Source organism: Homo sapiens, chromosome 6 (assembly GCF_000001405.40).
Source record: "Homo sapiens chromosome 6, GRCh38.p14 Primary Assembly".
Taxonomy (NCBI): Eukaryota; Metazoa; Chordata; class Mammalia; order Primates; family Hominidae; genus Homo; species Homo sapiens.
The window spans coordinates 41,095,577-41,110,789 of NC_000006.12; the positions used below are offsets into that span (position 1 = coordinate 41,095,577).

Consider the following 15,213-nt stretch of genomic DNA (forward strand, 5'->3'; position numbering starts at 1 on the left):
CGCACCACCATGCCCAGCTAATTTTTAAATTTTTTGTAGAAATGGAGTCTCACTTTGTTGCCCAGGCAGGTCTCAAACTCCTAGGCTCAAGCGATCCTCTCGCCTTGGCCTCCCAAAGTGCTAGGATTACAGGCGCACACCATTGCACTTGGCCCTTTTCTTTACAGTGTAATAATATTTAAGTTGTTGAATTTTTCAAGATTGTTTCCTTCACTAGACTGTAAGTTGTATAGAGGGTAGAGGATTGTTTCGTTCTCTGTTATATTTATTGGACTTAATTCTATTTAAGTAAGTTGTATTTAAGTACTGACTTAGATGTATTTGTTGGGTTTAGTATCCAGTTCTGAACCAAGCAATCAGTGTTTCTTGAATTAATAGATTCCTCCCATTTGCTGATACTCCATTCTATATTAACATCACATTCCACTTGCACTATTGCAATATCCATCAAATTAATCTCCAGTCTCCTCTAATTGGCCTTATATAGTACTTATACAGTACATGGTTAAAGTGTTTTTTTTAACCTGCCAGTCCCCAGGTCAAGGATGCATGCTATTAATAGTTCTCATTTCTTAACTGCATCAAATCTCAAACTATTTCTGTATAACATCTAAGCAACTTTGCCTTATCACCCCCTCAACAATCAAACTAGGTTTCCTCAGTGTCCCCACACATGAACACTAACAACTCTTTCAGTGCTATTAATCCTCACCTGTAGTGTGAGAGCCCCTCCTTTCTCATTGCTATTCATTCATAACGGTGTATGAATGTGGGCCTGACAGCTATTGTGGCAGGAGGGCATTGTGCCAGGAACTCTCCTCATTCTGTGTGCTAACAATATGATCTTGGTCAATTCAGCCTCTTTTATTTTTATCTGTAAAGTGGAATACTGTTGATACTTCACAGCAATGTTGTAGGGATTTCATTCAGTAATCCACATTAGGCATCTGTGTAGCACCATACCTAGTGCATGGTGAGTTCAGTAAATGCTAGTTGTTTTTGCTCATTGTTCAAGACCCAGTTCCAGTCTTCCATCTCCAGAAGGCTTTCAGCTTTTTCTCAGATCCTGCCTACCAAGGCTTCAGAGCCTTGGTATGGGGGAACTAAAGGTGGTTCTTGCGGAGTGTTGCAAAAAGCTTCCAAGGATTTATCCTTGTGTTAACACGGTAGGTCTTAAGTGAGAAACAGCATATAGAGTTTAGTGGAAAGAAGATGAAATGGGAGTCAGGAGATTTGGGAGTTAGCCCTTGCTGGACTCCTAACTTTCTGACCCTGACCCTAGTCCACGCAAATCACTTTACCCATCTGGCCTTCAGATTTATCTGTAAAACGAGTACATTAAAGTGTATAGATTCTAATGATTCTTTCTAGCCCTGCTAAGTACTCAGTATTTAAATGATGATCAAAAAACAGTGACAAAAATACAGCATGACATGGTTTCTCTGGGTCTTTTCCTTAGACACCTGAATCTGAATACTCTTAACCCTTAAGTATAGAGAACAACACAAGGTTCTTAGGAAAGAGATACACTAACAGCCCTGCAGTGTTTCACCATGGAGTGCAGGCCAGACTTTAAATTATTTTAAGAATAAGGTTTATTGTCTCTTCTTTCCTAATGGGGCTACACTTTAAGCCATGTATGCAGACTTAAGATGTATTACAAGCCTTTGATTTACTTGGTAAAGTTATGTGTATTCTCTTGGGGGGATAAGTAGTGAGAGCCATGAGTTCCTGTTGCTTTTGCAAAGGACTTTAATCATCATGTCATCTTTGTCTCTAGGATCCAAACCAAGCCGATGAAGAAGCAATGACACAGATCATCCGAGTGTCCTAACCCCACGCCATGTGATGGAGCTGATCAAGGTCATGTTTCTCACTGTTCCAGGAAATTGATCAACTCTTCCAATGGGACATTGATGATCACATTCTGCCCTTTACTACAGGACAGAAACCACTTAGTTTTTAATAAGTGGCTCAGTATTACAATTGCAGCGATGCCTGGCAAATTGAAGTTGCAAGCCTTTGTCTTACTCTTTCAGTCAGGACCTATTTCAGACTGTTGATGACATTGACATTTCATGGATTCGGATGATGCAAGGAGACACATGCCACCCCAGCAGTACACAAAGCACTTACCTTGACTGGTGAAGTCAGCCAGCCATCTCAGCAGGGAAGAACAACCTTCTCAACCAAAACTGCAATCAGGAAAGCAGCAGCCCACTCCTTCCCATGGAATCTAGACAGCATTTATCCCTCTGGTGGGGGAATCTCACACTGACTAACTGAATGGACGCTTTGTATTCAGAGATGGCTTCCAGGCAAGGAAGTTCTATCTTGTGATACGGAAACAATAAATTCCTGAGATACATTCTTCCAATCTGTGGTAATAATAAGAATTCCTCTCTGCCCAGATGGTAGGTTGATATTTCTGGACTCTAGCCAAGAAAAAGCTAATTCTGGGGATAGAATGATAAAAGACTCAAGCACTAAAAATATACATTGCCGAATCTCTTTTTCTAGCTTTGAAAAGTTGTGGCCTGCTTGTCCCTCTGTTGACTGGTCATCTGGACCATCGTACTTGCTGTGGCTACTTCTAAGACAATGTAGAGGGTTATTAAACCTTGAAACTGCCTTTCCTAAGTAGAGAACAAGACTATTCAACAACTTCTTTGCTGAAGCACTGAGGAGATTTGTAATACTCCTAAAGGAAGGGCCAAACTAGAGATTTTCAATCATAGACTTTGTGACAGCATTTGGGGAACTAAAAGATTCATGTGTTTCAGCCTAGTGGGAGAGAGTGGGGGAGAGGAAGAGAGAGAGAGAGCATGTATACCCGTATGTTATCATAGAGCACGATTCTCCAGTGGATGGATACCTGGAATGGATCATTAAGATGAAGAGAGTAATTCACATTTACTCTAGAACCTTTAACAAGCACTGAAAGGAAGAAGCCTGAGATTTGATCCTTGACAATTTCTGGAAAGCACTGGTCAGTCACACTGTCCTGGACAGAGTCCAAGTTACCCACTAAAGCTTGAGGTGGATGTTGGCTTCACTCCTGCAGCACAATGCTGGCCCTAGAAAGCGAGCATTTTCATTCTTCCCATGGCAGCTGATTCTTTGGTGCCAGTTTTCATGTTTTCTCCATAGGCCTTGTGCAGAAAGGTTTTCTCATTGCATCCATACTGTGAGAATAAACTGCAGACTGAAAGAAACATGCCTGCAGGGTCAGGAACTGGGCCACTGTTCCCAGAACGGGTTGTGCCTCAGAAATCTATTTCTCTTTTAGATGTTGAACCCTGAGAGAACTAAGATGATATTTCAGAAGAGTTGGCTGCCTTCTCTGGAAACAAGGAAAACCCAATAATTCCGAGGAACATTGGGGGTTAAATACCAAGAATAAAAATTGGTTCTTCTTTGACTTCAGCTTAACTGTATTAAGACAGAAATTAAGCCCTCTAAAAACACCACAAAGAGAGATGATTGTAATGATAGAAATAGAGGTACAGAGCTATGCAAAGGAAACAGGAAGTGAAATATTCCTAGTCCCAGGGATCTGGTAATCGCTCCTGGCTTCCAGATGTCAAAGGACTGATCCTTTGGTAAGCTCACTAGAAACTTCTAGCTCTACAAGAGTTTGGGATATTAATGTTATTCAGTAAGTCCCAAGTTTTTCAGAGAATAGATTACTAACAATGAGGAATTTATATTCCTTGGTTAATTTAGGAGTCTAAGATGCAGAGTTCAGAAAGAAATTACTCAGACCTAACTTTGAGTGCTTAAGCTGCCAACAGTTAGAAGATGCTATTTATTTGTGTCTGTAAGTTTGTACATAGTAATGCCAGCCTTGTTGCTGAATTTTTTATTTGGGGGGAGATGACTTTGAATTTTGTTTGAAATGCTTCAGTTGTCATTTTGTCATTGCATTTCAAATAGCTCATGACCCTTTTCTTGTGGTCACTTTGGCACACCATAGTAGCCCACAAAGTGGGGGCAGGGTATTGACATTTGGATTTTTTCTTTGATACTAGTTCTTTTATTCATTTTTATTTGTGACTGTAGTGATAACTTTACAGATGGAGAAAGAGTGAATGGATGAATGAATAATTGGTTTAATGCCTAGTTATGCAACTTGAGTGCTTTTTTTTTTTTTTGCAGGATAATTTTAAGTGTATATATTTTAACTGCACTGGTACATTGAACATGTCAGTGTCGATGCCACTGGACCAACAGAGCATTTTGTGGCTATAGGGTGCCTGATAATAATGTCTTGATTTTTCTTTGGGATTCAACTATATCGAAGGTTTTTCCCCCAGCAGTATGGGGGCGTACAGGTGATCGATCATTAATGTCATTGCAATTGTTATTTTTTAAAATAAATTTATAAAAATAACCGAAAAGTAATGTGACTTTTGAGGAATCTGCAACTCCTGGGTTCTAGTTTGTGTTTCCAGTGTTGAAATTTTGATCTCCCCCGACAAGACTTGTCTGCATGGACGGTGTCTCTGTAAACAGTATCAAACTTGTAATGTCTGAGCCTCTTAGCTTTATCTCCCCTTAATTTCTTCCCTTTTGGCCCTTCCACCCTGTTGAGGAGATTTTTTCTGTCACCTGCAGGCTGATCATACATTTGATGCTACTACTGAAAGTGTTTATCAAAATGTGATGAAGTAATTCCATGAGGAAAATTAGCCGTTATCACAAAAACAGCCTTAAGTATTGTAGAATTTCAGGTAGTGAAGATGTACTATTTACGTTTTGTTAGATTTTGTTTTGGCAGAAGACCAAAACAAAAGTACTTTTCTGATTGTTAAAAATCCACAGCATGCTCACCTTGTTACTGTTTTACCTTACGGTCGCTGGGAATCTAAGCAACAAAGACTAGAAGCCTCCGATATGCCATTATCAACACACAAGAGACAAACAGCCCGAGGAAGCACTCAATGATGAGAGCAGTAGACCTGCCCTGGCAGATGAGAGAGGAGAAACTCTCCACAATGAAGGAAAAGCACTGACAGTATTTGATAGCTTTAGTCAAACTGTGCTTGAGTTTGGCTTAGATTTATGCCAGTGGAACCTGTCCTTACCAAATTCAGAGATGACCCAAGATTCTACTCTGTGGTATGAGGGAAAGACCTCTCGATATTTATCTCACACCAACGGCTTTATCGTAGGAGCGTCTTCGCCTCCCCCGTTTCCAGTAGAAAAGACAGCTTTGCTCCTTTGAAAGCGCAGACCGCCGCACCTCCAGCCCCTTCTCCCCGGGGAAGTAGGCCCCGCTAAGAATGTGGGAAGGTGGTGGGGCGGCGACTGAAGTCGCTTCCGATTGGCGTTGTCCCAAGGAAGCCTGCGCGGATTGATCGGCGGCAGGCCTCCAATAGAGCCTGCTAGGCGGATTGGCTGCTACGCGGCTGGGCCCTGTTTCCGGTACCTAGGCGGGCAGCCATGGTGACCGGCGAGCGGCATGCGACGCCGCCTCTGTGGCCTGTGGAGGCCCGCTTGGCGGCGCTGCTTCCCGACCTACTGGTCTTTCGGAAGCCTCGGGGATGGGAACCCGAGCTCGCCACGGCCCAGGGCGTCCTCCTAGGCGTCCATGTGACGGGTGAGGGCGACGGCCGGCACTTGCACTTAAGTCTCCTGGCCTGCGGGAGAGGCGGCCGTTGGGTCTAAGCCCCTGGAGGCCTCGACGGTTACAGGCCTAGCCTCCCGCGAGCTAAGGCACAGTTTAACTTCGTGCTGCGGCTTCCTTAGGAAACTTTGAGTATCTTCGTTTTAGCGTGGGAGGACATCTTTTGGGATGAACCGGCTCAGTCCTTGAGCTCACCCCAAAGATGATGAAATTGAAACTCAGAGGAAAGGATTTTTACAGGACCACGCCCCGGGCTTTGAACCCGTTTTTCCCAACCCCGAGCATTTTCTATTAAGCGTTCTGTTTCAATTATTTTATTCGTTCAGTTAATTCGTTCTTGGCGTCATAAGTATATGCCCGCCGTTGTTCTGGCCGTAGCTATCTAGCAGCCACTCCGCGAGTCGTTCATTTAACAAATACTTACTCTGTGTCAGGGATATGAAGATGGGTAATACCAGGTGCCTGTCCTCACTGTGTGAGTGGTTCTCTAGCCAGACATGAGGAGGGATCCTATTGTTTCCCATAGCTAGGCAGCCTAAGAGAGTAGGGGAAAGAGCTGGCTCCAGATGAAAAGGGCACCATCTCCAGCTCTTGGAAGCAGAGAGGGTGGTCCTTTGGATTCCCAGTGGCAGCAGCAACCAACCTGGCCCTTAGTAGTTTCTAAGTTACACCATGTTAATGGATAAAGGAATTACTCAGCTTGAAGGGATCTGTTTCCTTTACACTGGCCTGATGTGTGGGGAGAAAGGGGCCAAAAAGTTTAGGATTTGGAGTTAACATCGTAATTTCTGCTTTGTTGGTCAGGGTTTACAGCATTAATGGACAGGTTCACCCTGACCTACAAGTCGGAACGTGACATGGACAAACTGGCCCATATCTTCAGTTATTACATTAGTGACATCGTGGAGCGTGAGTGATCATTGTAGGGTAACAAGGTGTGGTGCTGGGCTCCTGGGGGTTTATAAAAGAAGGGGGCCAGAAGTACTTTAAAACAGGTACCAAAGGGTCATTCCTTTAGCATCATTCATCTTTGGTTTCTTCAAGTTGCCACTGAAAAGCTAGACCTTTGCCTATTATCTGCTAATCTACCCAGTCTCACATTCTATTGACTCATTGTTCAAAGGGGGGGCAGGAGGAGCTAATTTCCTTTGCACATTTGTATTTTATTTCAAAATAAAGTATTCTCTTCTAACAATAACGTATCTCAAGTGTGTATTCAGACAAAATTTATAAAACATCTTTTTATTATTATATTTTGATCCTGTGAGGAAGGAATAGGTGTTTTCTTATTTTCTGCCATGTATTAAGCTTTTAGATATTTGCCAGATATCCAGTATCTGGAAAAAACTCATTTATGTAGTACCCATGTTTTGAGTACCTACCCTGTGACATGGACTGTAATAGGTGCAGGCAGGGCAAGAACCCACTCTTGAACTTTTTAGTTAGGCCTACCCAACAGAAATTACTCTGACCTTATACCTTTTAGTACTTACGTAACATTCTCATCCTTTACTGACAGTGCCCTGTATGCTTCCGTCCATCATTCTGAGATTCACCAGAATAATTACTTTGAGGCATCTCCGTTAAGAATTTGATTATTTGACTTACCTCTTATCCTTAAGGAACACATGGAAGGTCGTTTGCTTTTTCTTATAGGTTTGGATGAAGGGGAAGATAAACATTCTATATCGTGTATGTACTCTAATACCAGCAACTTCTGGGTACTAGAACTACAGGGGAAAGTAAGACAGAGTACCCTCGTGGAGTTTCCATTTTAGTGGGACAGACAATAAACACAATAATTGTAGCTTATATATTCTATCAAGGAAATAAACATAGTATAGTGGTAAAAAAAAAACACAAAAAATAATTTTAGGGTAGGGGAGTATATGAGACAGGGTGGTCATAGGCTCCTCTGAGGAGGTATTATTTAAGCTGACACTTGAAGGATGAGGGGAACAGCTTGTGAAGAACTAGGGGTAAAGCATTTCAGACAGAATACCAAGTGCAAAGGTCCTGAGACAGGAGAAAGCTCGGCATGCTCTAGGAGCTAAAAGAAGGCCAGTGCAGGCCAAAACGTAGCTCGCAGGGTGAAGAGTGGTTTGAGGCAAGGTTGGGGGATGGTAGCTATGAGACCACCACGCTCTGTAGTCCATAGTGAAGAGTTGGAATTATATATTTCTGTATAAAGGAAAACTGTGGAAAGGTCTAGCAGGGGAGTAATATGATCTGATTAACACTTTAAAGCTGATTTTGGCTACCTTGTGGAGATTGAATGCTGGTGGAAAGTGAATTTAAGAATAGAAGCTGGAAGAGGCAATTGTCCTGGAAAGATGTTGGAGATTTGGTCTAGAGCAGTGGTTCTCAACCTCAGCTGTGGTTGCCTGAGGAGCTTTTTAATTGTTTTTTCTTTTTTCTTTTTTTTTTTTTGTAAGAGACTGGGGTCTCAGTATGTTGCCAAGTTTGTCTTGAACTCTAGAGCTTAAAAGATTCTTCTGCCTCAACCTCTCAAATAGCTAGGACTGCAGGTACCATACCACCTTGTCTAACAAAAAATCTTAATGCCTAAGCTTCACCCCAGGCCATTTAAATCGGACTTTCTTAAGGTTGGCCCAGGAATAAGACCTTTTAAAGTTTCATAGGCAATTCCAATGTGCGGTCAAGACTGAAGATTGTTGGTGTAGAGGTATGGCAGGGGAGCTGTGTGGGGTAGATTAACCTGAAATATATTTTGCAGGTTCAACAGACAGGAGTTGCTAATACGTTGAATTTCAGTGGGAAGTGGTGAGAAAAAGGACTCAGTTTTTTGGCTTTCATAAATGAATTGATCGTGTCATTTACCAAGACAGGAAAGACTGAACATTGAGAAAGAAAATCAAGAGTTCTGTTTTGAGTATGTTGAGTTTGAGATGCCAATAAGTCATTCAAGTGGAGAATGACTCCATTCAAGTGGAGAATCCAGCTATGATTGAGCCTGGAGCTCAGAGAAGAGATCCCTGTTAGAGATGAAAATGTGAGTTGATGGCATAAAGTGGGACTTAAAGTTAAGAACCGATTGAGTTCATGTTGGGAGAGCATAAATAAAGAGAAAGAGCCTTTGGCTGAGGCTTGAGGAACTCCAGGGGAGGATTATGATAAGGGAGAAAGAACCTGAAAAAGAGACTACAAACAGCCAGTGAGGTAGGATATTGTGGTGTTCCTGAAGCCAAAGGAGAGGTAGTGTCTCTAGAAGAAAGCTGCAGCTAGCTGGGTTGAAAATGACAGCTGTCAAGTACAGTGAGGTCAGAGAGGTATTGAATTTAGCAAGATTAATGCTGTTGATGACCTTGATAATTTGAAGTGGTGGAGGTAGAAGTCAGAGTGGAGTAAGCTGAGAAAAAGAATGACAGAGAAAACATTTAAGAGGAAGAGTAAATGGGAGATGAGGAAAATATATATAGCCAACTTTTTTGAGATTTGGGGGTTTTGTTTGTTGTGAATGTAGCAGGAAAAAAAATGGAGCTAATAGGCAGAAGATAAGGTAGAACCAAGAATATGTGGGTTATTTTTGTGTGTTTTGGTTTTGTTTTTTAAGCTATTGATGAGAATATTTCAGTAGAGAGATTAGGAACGGTGTGAAGTTCTTGAGAAGGTAAAAGGGGATAAGATTCCTATCACAAATGGGGTGGCTTTGAAGAGAGCAGGAATTCTTCCATTTTAGAAACGATGTATGTAGGTGCAGATAGATTTGGGGAGAAAATGAAAAGAAGGAAGAAGGAGCCTGAGTCTTGGAGTGAGCAAATGGACAAGAATGATGTCAGGATAAACTCAGTAGGCCATTCTTTTGACCATATATGATTCTGCCCTGATCTGGTTTATATCTGATTTTGACTCATTTTCCTCTCTCTTCCTTACTTGATTTCAGATGTTCTCTGTTTTGGAGGGGATATCCTAAATATCACAGGTATTTTTTTAGTTTTTCTGAATACTTAAAAGACTGAGTGAGGAGGACTATATTTAGGTGGAATTCAGCATATTGGTTTATTCAGCATTGTTTGATTAATAGGTACTGGACCCTGGGGATACAAAGATGAGGAAGACATAGTCTGTGCCTCAAAGGATCCCCCAGTCTAATGGAAAAGCTTTGCCCAAATTAAACTCTCACATGCTTTGCATTTTTGTTTAGATTGAAGGACAGCAAAATAAGTGCCAATAAAGCGTTCTTGAGAAAACTAATGAGAAATTTGGTCATTAATAGCAGAAGCTAAGCATGAGATGGGGAGGAGTTAAGCATGTCCTATCTGGAGAACTCAGGATCACTAACAGCTGTATGCCCCGGAGTTGGCCTGTCTTCTTATTTAAACATAATAAAACCAGCCATCAAATTAGATATGAACTTGAACCCACATTTTATGAATCTTTTGCTAGTACCTCTCCTCCTCTGTTAGTATACTGGTGGAAGGAAGATTACCAAAAATATCCTTAGGATCATTTAAACTTCTACCTAGTTACGTTTTTACTGAATGATTTTGAGGATCTGAAGCAGTATTTTAACCTAGCATAATGTATACAGCCAAGAAACCTTGCCTGATAACTTACTTGATATCCACACTGGGTCAAGTTGATCTTCTGCATTACTGGGACTTTGCCCTGGACCAAGTAAGTCTAGATATTTGGTCCCCATCAGCCTATCCTGTGTGTCTGCAGGGAACATGCTCCTGGCACTCTGGAGAGTAGAACAAAATCAACTGAGTGACATCATTACCTTGGTGGCAAAATGCAGTCTGGAGATACAGGAGAAATTTGGGATCTATCATACCAGGGAAGGCCAGGACCTGCAGTTAAAGATAGGTAGTACCTCCTAAAAGAGTGATCCAGTTGGGCAAGGGGGAACCCACTATAAAAACCTCAAAAGATAAATGATAAACTGGGAAAAAATGTTTGCAATTCATATAGACAAAGGGTGAATTGCTCTACTAGGGAAAGAGCACTTAGAAATCAAGAAAACAATAGTACTCTTAAGAGAAAAATTGGACAAAGGACATGAGTAAATTGTATATAGACAAGGAAATGCATGTCTTTTAACACGTAAAAAGATGATCAACATTCATAATAAGAAAAATGCCAATTGGAAGTACACTGACTACCTGTCTTACCTATAGATAGGCAAAACTTCAGATGCTGGACAATGTACTCTTTGGTGAGTCTGAGGAATGAGCTTTTTCTTACTGTGAGTGAACAACGGTATAAGGTGATTTGGCAATCTTTATTTATTTTTATTGTCTATTGTATTTTTTATGTCAACAAAAACTAAACCATATAAAAATATATATTAAAAAGTCTTGTTTTCACTTATATACCATCTATACTATTTACTCTTACAAGTGCATTTATTCCTTAACCTAGCAATCCTTCTGGACATCTATAGGTATACGTTCACACATCTGAAATGTTGCATGTGCAAGGTTATTGATTGTAATATGGTTTGTAATTTTAAAACATTGAAAACTATTTATAGGAGACTGGTTAAGTAAATAATATGTATACTCAATAAGATTACCTGCAACTTAAAAAAAATAAGATGTCTTGATATGGCAGTATCTCCAAGATACAGTTAAGTGAAAAAAAGTAAGATACAAAACAGCATGTTTAGTATGCTACCATTTGTGTAAGGAGGAAAATAAGAATTTTTCTTATTTGTTTATATCTTTTTTTTTTTTTGAGATGGAGTCTTGCTCTGTCACCCAGGCTGGAGTGCAGTGGCGCCATCTCAGCTCACTGCAAGCTCCACCTCCCGGGATCACACCATTCTCCTGCCTCAGCCTCCTACTGAGTAGCTGGGACTACAGGAGCCTGCCACCACGCCTGGCTAATTTTTTTGTATTTTTAGTAGAGACAGGGTTTCACCGTGTTAGCCAGGATGTTCTCGATCTCCTGACCTCGTGTTCCGCCCGCCTCGGCCTCCCAAAGTGCTGGAATTACAGACTTGAGCCACCGCACCTGGCCTATTTGTTTATATCTTGTATAAAGAAACACTGGAAAAAATATATAAGAAACTAATAAAATTACTAATATCAGGAAAATAGTAAAGATGGTCATGTAGGTAGAAGCAAGATTTTAAAATACATATTCTTTCATATAGTTTAGTTTTTGAACTATGTTATTGCTTGACAGAATCAAAAATATAATACAATATAATAAAAATTAAAAAGCTACATACAGGGGCCAAAGTTTCACCAATGGCAGAGTCAGGATTGGAGGCGAAGCTCAATATACAAAGCTCCTTCACAAGGGTTCAGAAAACTCCTCAAGGGCAAAAGTTGGCTCCAGCTATTCTTTTATGTTTTGAGGAGCAGTGGTAAAGGATTATATTCTGTCTTATATGGCATCTCTTTTGTCCTGCCGTCTTTTTTGTTTCTTTTGGTTTTTGTTGTATTAAGGATAATTGATACTATACATTGGCATATTTATACACTTTTGAAACCATCACCACAATAAAGATAGTGAACATACTTATCACTCAAAAAGTCTCCTCGTGCCCCTTTGTACATTCTTCCACTACTCTCCTTCACCATCTCCAGACAGACAAAATGTCCATCTCCAGGTGTATTATATAAGAGAAGGAAATCTGGGGGAAGAATTTTTTTTTTTTTTTTTTGAGATGGAGTCTCACTCTGTTGCCCAGGCTGGCATGCAGTGGCACGGTCTTGGCTCACTGCAACCTCCGCCTCCAGGGTTCAAGCAATTCTTCTGCCTAAGCCTCCTGAGTAGCTGGGATTATAGGTGTGCACCACCACGCCTGGCTAATTTTTTTTTTTTTTTTTGTATTTTTAGTAGAGACAGGGTTTCACCATGTTGGTCAGGCTAGTCTCGAGTTCCCAACCTCAGGTCATCTGCCCGTCTCAGCCTCCCAAAGTGCTGGGATTACAGGCGTGAGCCACCGTGCCTGGCCGTAAGGTATTATTTTTAAAGGTTAGCTCACCTAAGACTTCCGCAGCTGAGGGCAGTAACAAGATAGGCATGATGCACAGAGCCATGTGGGGATTCCAGACCCCTCCTGTTGCATAGTTTCCCAGTTGAATTTGACTCTTCTCCATTTATCTCATTTTTTTCTGGATAGGTCTACCTGCAAGTCGGATTTCCCAGGTTATTGTTGGAGATGAGCGGCAGCAATACCTCTTGGTGATTGGGCAGGTTGTAGTGATGTCCAGTTAGCTCAGCGTTTGGCTCAGGCGAATGAAATTGTCCTATCCTGGAACTGCTGGATGCTTTGCAAGCAGTATATGTTTGAAGTGGCAATCATGAGGGAGGATGAAGCTGTGAAGGTAGGAGGCTAGCTTCCTGTACTGCCATTCTGAAAAGGCCTTCCTAGTACACAGCGCAATGCTCTGGTAGTGTTCACATATTGCCTGGCCAAACCAATGACCATTGGAACTCAATTTAGGAGGGAGGCTGGGAATATTCTCCTATGAAGATAGATGAGGTAGAACAGTGAGGCTGAGGAGATAAAAGGCAAACAAGGGCAATAGAATCCTCAGCCTTTCTTGTGTGGGGGCACAGAATTAAACAGTTTCCTTTCTGTAGTTAAGAGATATGTGGATCATTGATCCATTTGATTTTGATGAGCATTTTGACAAGTGCCTCAATTATCTACCACATTACCGTACGAGTGCTGGTAAGTTACTTTGTCCTTCCTACCTAAGCCCCAAATTTTAAACATTAATTTTCCACATGGCCAGGGACATTTTGTTTTTCTTTTCTCAGAGACTCTTAAGAACTGCACTGGAATTGGATCCACACTCTGAACTTGACCAAAAGCTGCAGAAGCACATAATGAAAAACCTTTTGAAGAAGCTTATTTCCTAGTTCTTGAATCCTCATAGAGTCTCTCTCTCTCTCTCTCTCTCTCTCTCTCTCTCTCTCTCTCTCTCTCTCTCTCTCTCTGTGTGTGTGTGTGTGTGTGTGTGCATGCACATGCATAAACAGGTGTACAATTATAAGTGACAACTTTTTTATATTTATCCAGTTAATCTCCAGCAACCCATTGTAATTCCAGCAAATTTACCCATCTGTGCCAACATAATACTGTGATGAACATGTCTTAAACCTTTAGTTAGATTTCTCAGTCCTAGAAAGTAGAAGCCATATTTGTTCTTTAGTTTGTTCTTTAACAATTTAGTACACTGTAAGAAGGGTATAGAGTGTATGTTTGGTAAATATAAGTTGACTGATTGTATATATATGAATATATGTGAATTCCTTAGTAAGAGATGTAATGACTAATGGATGTGTCAAATTAATTCTTAGAGAGTAAATCTTGACAGATTTCATCAGTGAATTCTGCCTAAAGTCAGTTTTAATTCCAAGTTCATTGGTTTGTATATCTTCTATACTGAATTTTCTTTTAAGTTTTTGCTGAGACCCATAAGTTGTTTTCTCATACATACCATGAAATACATAATTAAAAATGCCTGAACATGATGTTGATAGTTGAAAATACAGGTAGGTAACTCAATGTGTCTTTATAGATTGATGAAGGCCAGCCTATAGAGTATGTATCTGAATTCCGTACGATGACTCTGGTTTTGGTCAGCCTAGAGTTCCACAGGACAGCGTGGATGTTGCATTTGTGTCATCTTATCCAGGAGGCTGCCTTATACATCTCCACAGTCATTGAGAAAGGGGGCGGCCAGCTGAGTCGGATCTTTATGTTTGAGAAAGTAAGTACAAGGGAACTTGACCCATCAGCATTAAAGGTGAGTGAGGAGTAATGGTCTTGTACAACCAGTTGATCTCCCACATAATGCAAGTGTAAGTCAAATTCCCTGCTACTTATTTTGTAACAAGCTATATTACATTAAAACTTCAACTAATGTTAATTAAGGAATGGGATGTTCCTTTTTTTTTTTTTTTTTTTTTTTTTTTTTTTTTTTGAGGTGGAGTCTCGCTCTGTCGCCCAGGCTGGAGAGCAGTGGCGCGATCTCAGCTCACTGCAAGCTCCACCTCCCACGTTCATGCCATTCTCCTGCCTCAGCCTCCCGAGTAGCTGGGGACTACAGGCGCCTGCCACCATGCCCGGCTAATTTTTTTTTTGTATTTTTAGTGGAGACGGAGTTTCACCGTGTTAGCCAGGATGATCTCGATCTCCTGACCTCGCGATCTGCCTGTCTTGGCTTCCCAAAGTGCTGGGATTACAGGCATGAGCCACTGTGCCCGGCTGGGATGTTCTTGTTAATTTAATTTTCAAGGTTACTGAGGGTTACTCTCCATGTCATTTTTTATTGAATTCTTATTGAAGAATCCTTGTGAAAGCATAAAGAATGTTTTTCTGGTTCTATTAGTAAATTAAATGTAATCAAGTCTTTGTCAGATAATTAAAGATCTTGAAAAAAAGCAGAATCTTAACACTTGACATTATAGGTGAAGAAAATGTGGGCACATAGACTCAGCTCAAGGTATATACTAGAAATTAAATTTTTGAAAAGTTCTTGATAGCAATTTTTCTTGTGTTTTAAATTTCAGTTCTTTGAATAGTTAAATCAAGATTTTTGTTAATGTCTATGTTGCTGGCCAGGCACGGTGGCTCACGCCTGTAATCCCAGCAC

The 15,213-nt window shown here is 40.9% G+C and overlaps 2 protein-coding genes and 1 pseudogene across 5 annotated transcripts in view, besides 1 other annotated feature; 2 read left to right on the top strand and 1 right to left on the bottom strand.

Annotated features, from left to right (window-relative positions):
• Positions 1 to 2,211, bottom strand: part of OARD1 (O-acyl-ADP-ribose deacylase 1) — a 33,016-nt gene extending 30,805 nt beyond the window's left edge. For both annotated transcript variants that reach the window (NM_001329690.2, NM_001329684.2), the window contains exon 1: positions 2,137 to 2,211. The gene's annotated coding sequence lies outside the window, so the exon portion shown is untranslated. The remainder of the gene's footprint in view (positions 1 to 2,136) is intronic.
• The window catches only part of NFYA (nuclear transcription factor Y subunit alpha), a 29,430-nt gene extending 22,603 nt beyond the window's left edge, over positions 1 to 6,827 (top strand). For both annotated transcript variants that reach the window (NM_002505.5, NM_021705.4), the window contains one exon: positions 1,781 to 6,827. In NM_002505.5, the coding sequence (NP_002496.1) occupies positions 1,781 to 1,834 (54 nt within the window). In that variant the 3' untranslated portion in view covers positions 1,835 to 6,827. The remainder of the gene's footprint in view (positions 1 to 1,780) is intronic.
• ADCY10P1 (ADCY10 pseudogene 1) overlaps positions 5,458 to 15,213 on the top strand; it is a 39,802-nt pseudogene continuing 30,046 nt past the window's right edge. Inside the window, exons 1-5 of the transcript NR_026938.2 lie at positions 5,458 to 5,602; positions 6,434 to 6,538; positions 9,534 to 9,572; positions 12,729 to 12,933; positions 13,373 to 14,328. The product of NR_026938.2 is annotated as an ADCY10 pseudogene 1 (transcript). The remainder of the gene's footprint in view (positions 5,603 to 6,433; positions 6,539 to 9,533; positions 9,573 to 12,728; positions 12,934 to 13,372; positions 14,329 to 15,213) is intronic.
• Positions 8,680 to 8,880: a silencer, noted in NCBI's record as "peak5800 fragment used in MPRA reporter construct". NCBI's record gives its function as "represses an SCP1 promoter by STARR-seq MPRAs in K562 erythroleukemia cells {active_cell/tissue: K562}" and the evidence as "EXISTENCE:reporter gene assay evidence [ECO:0000049][PMID:32103011]".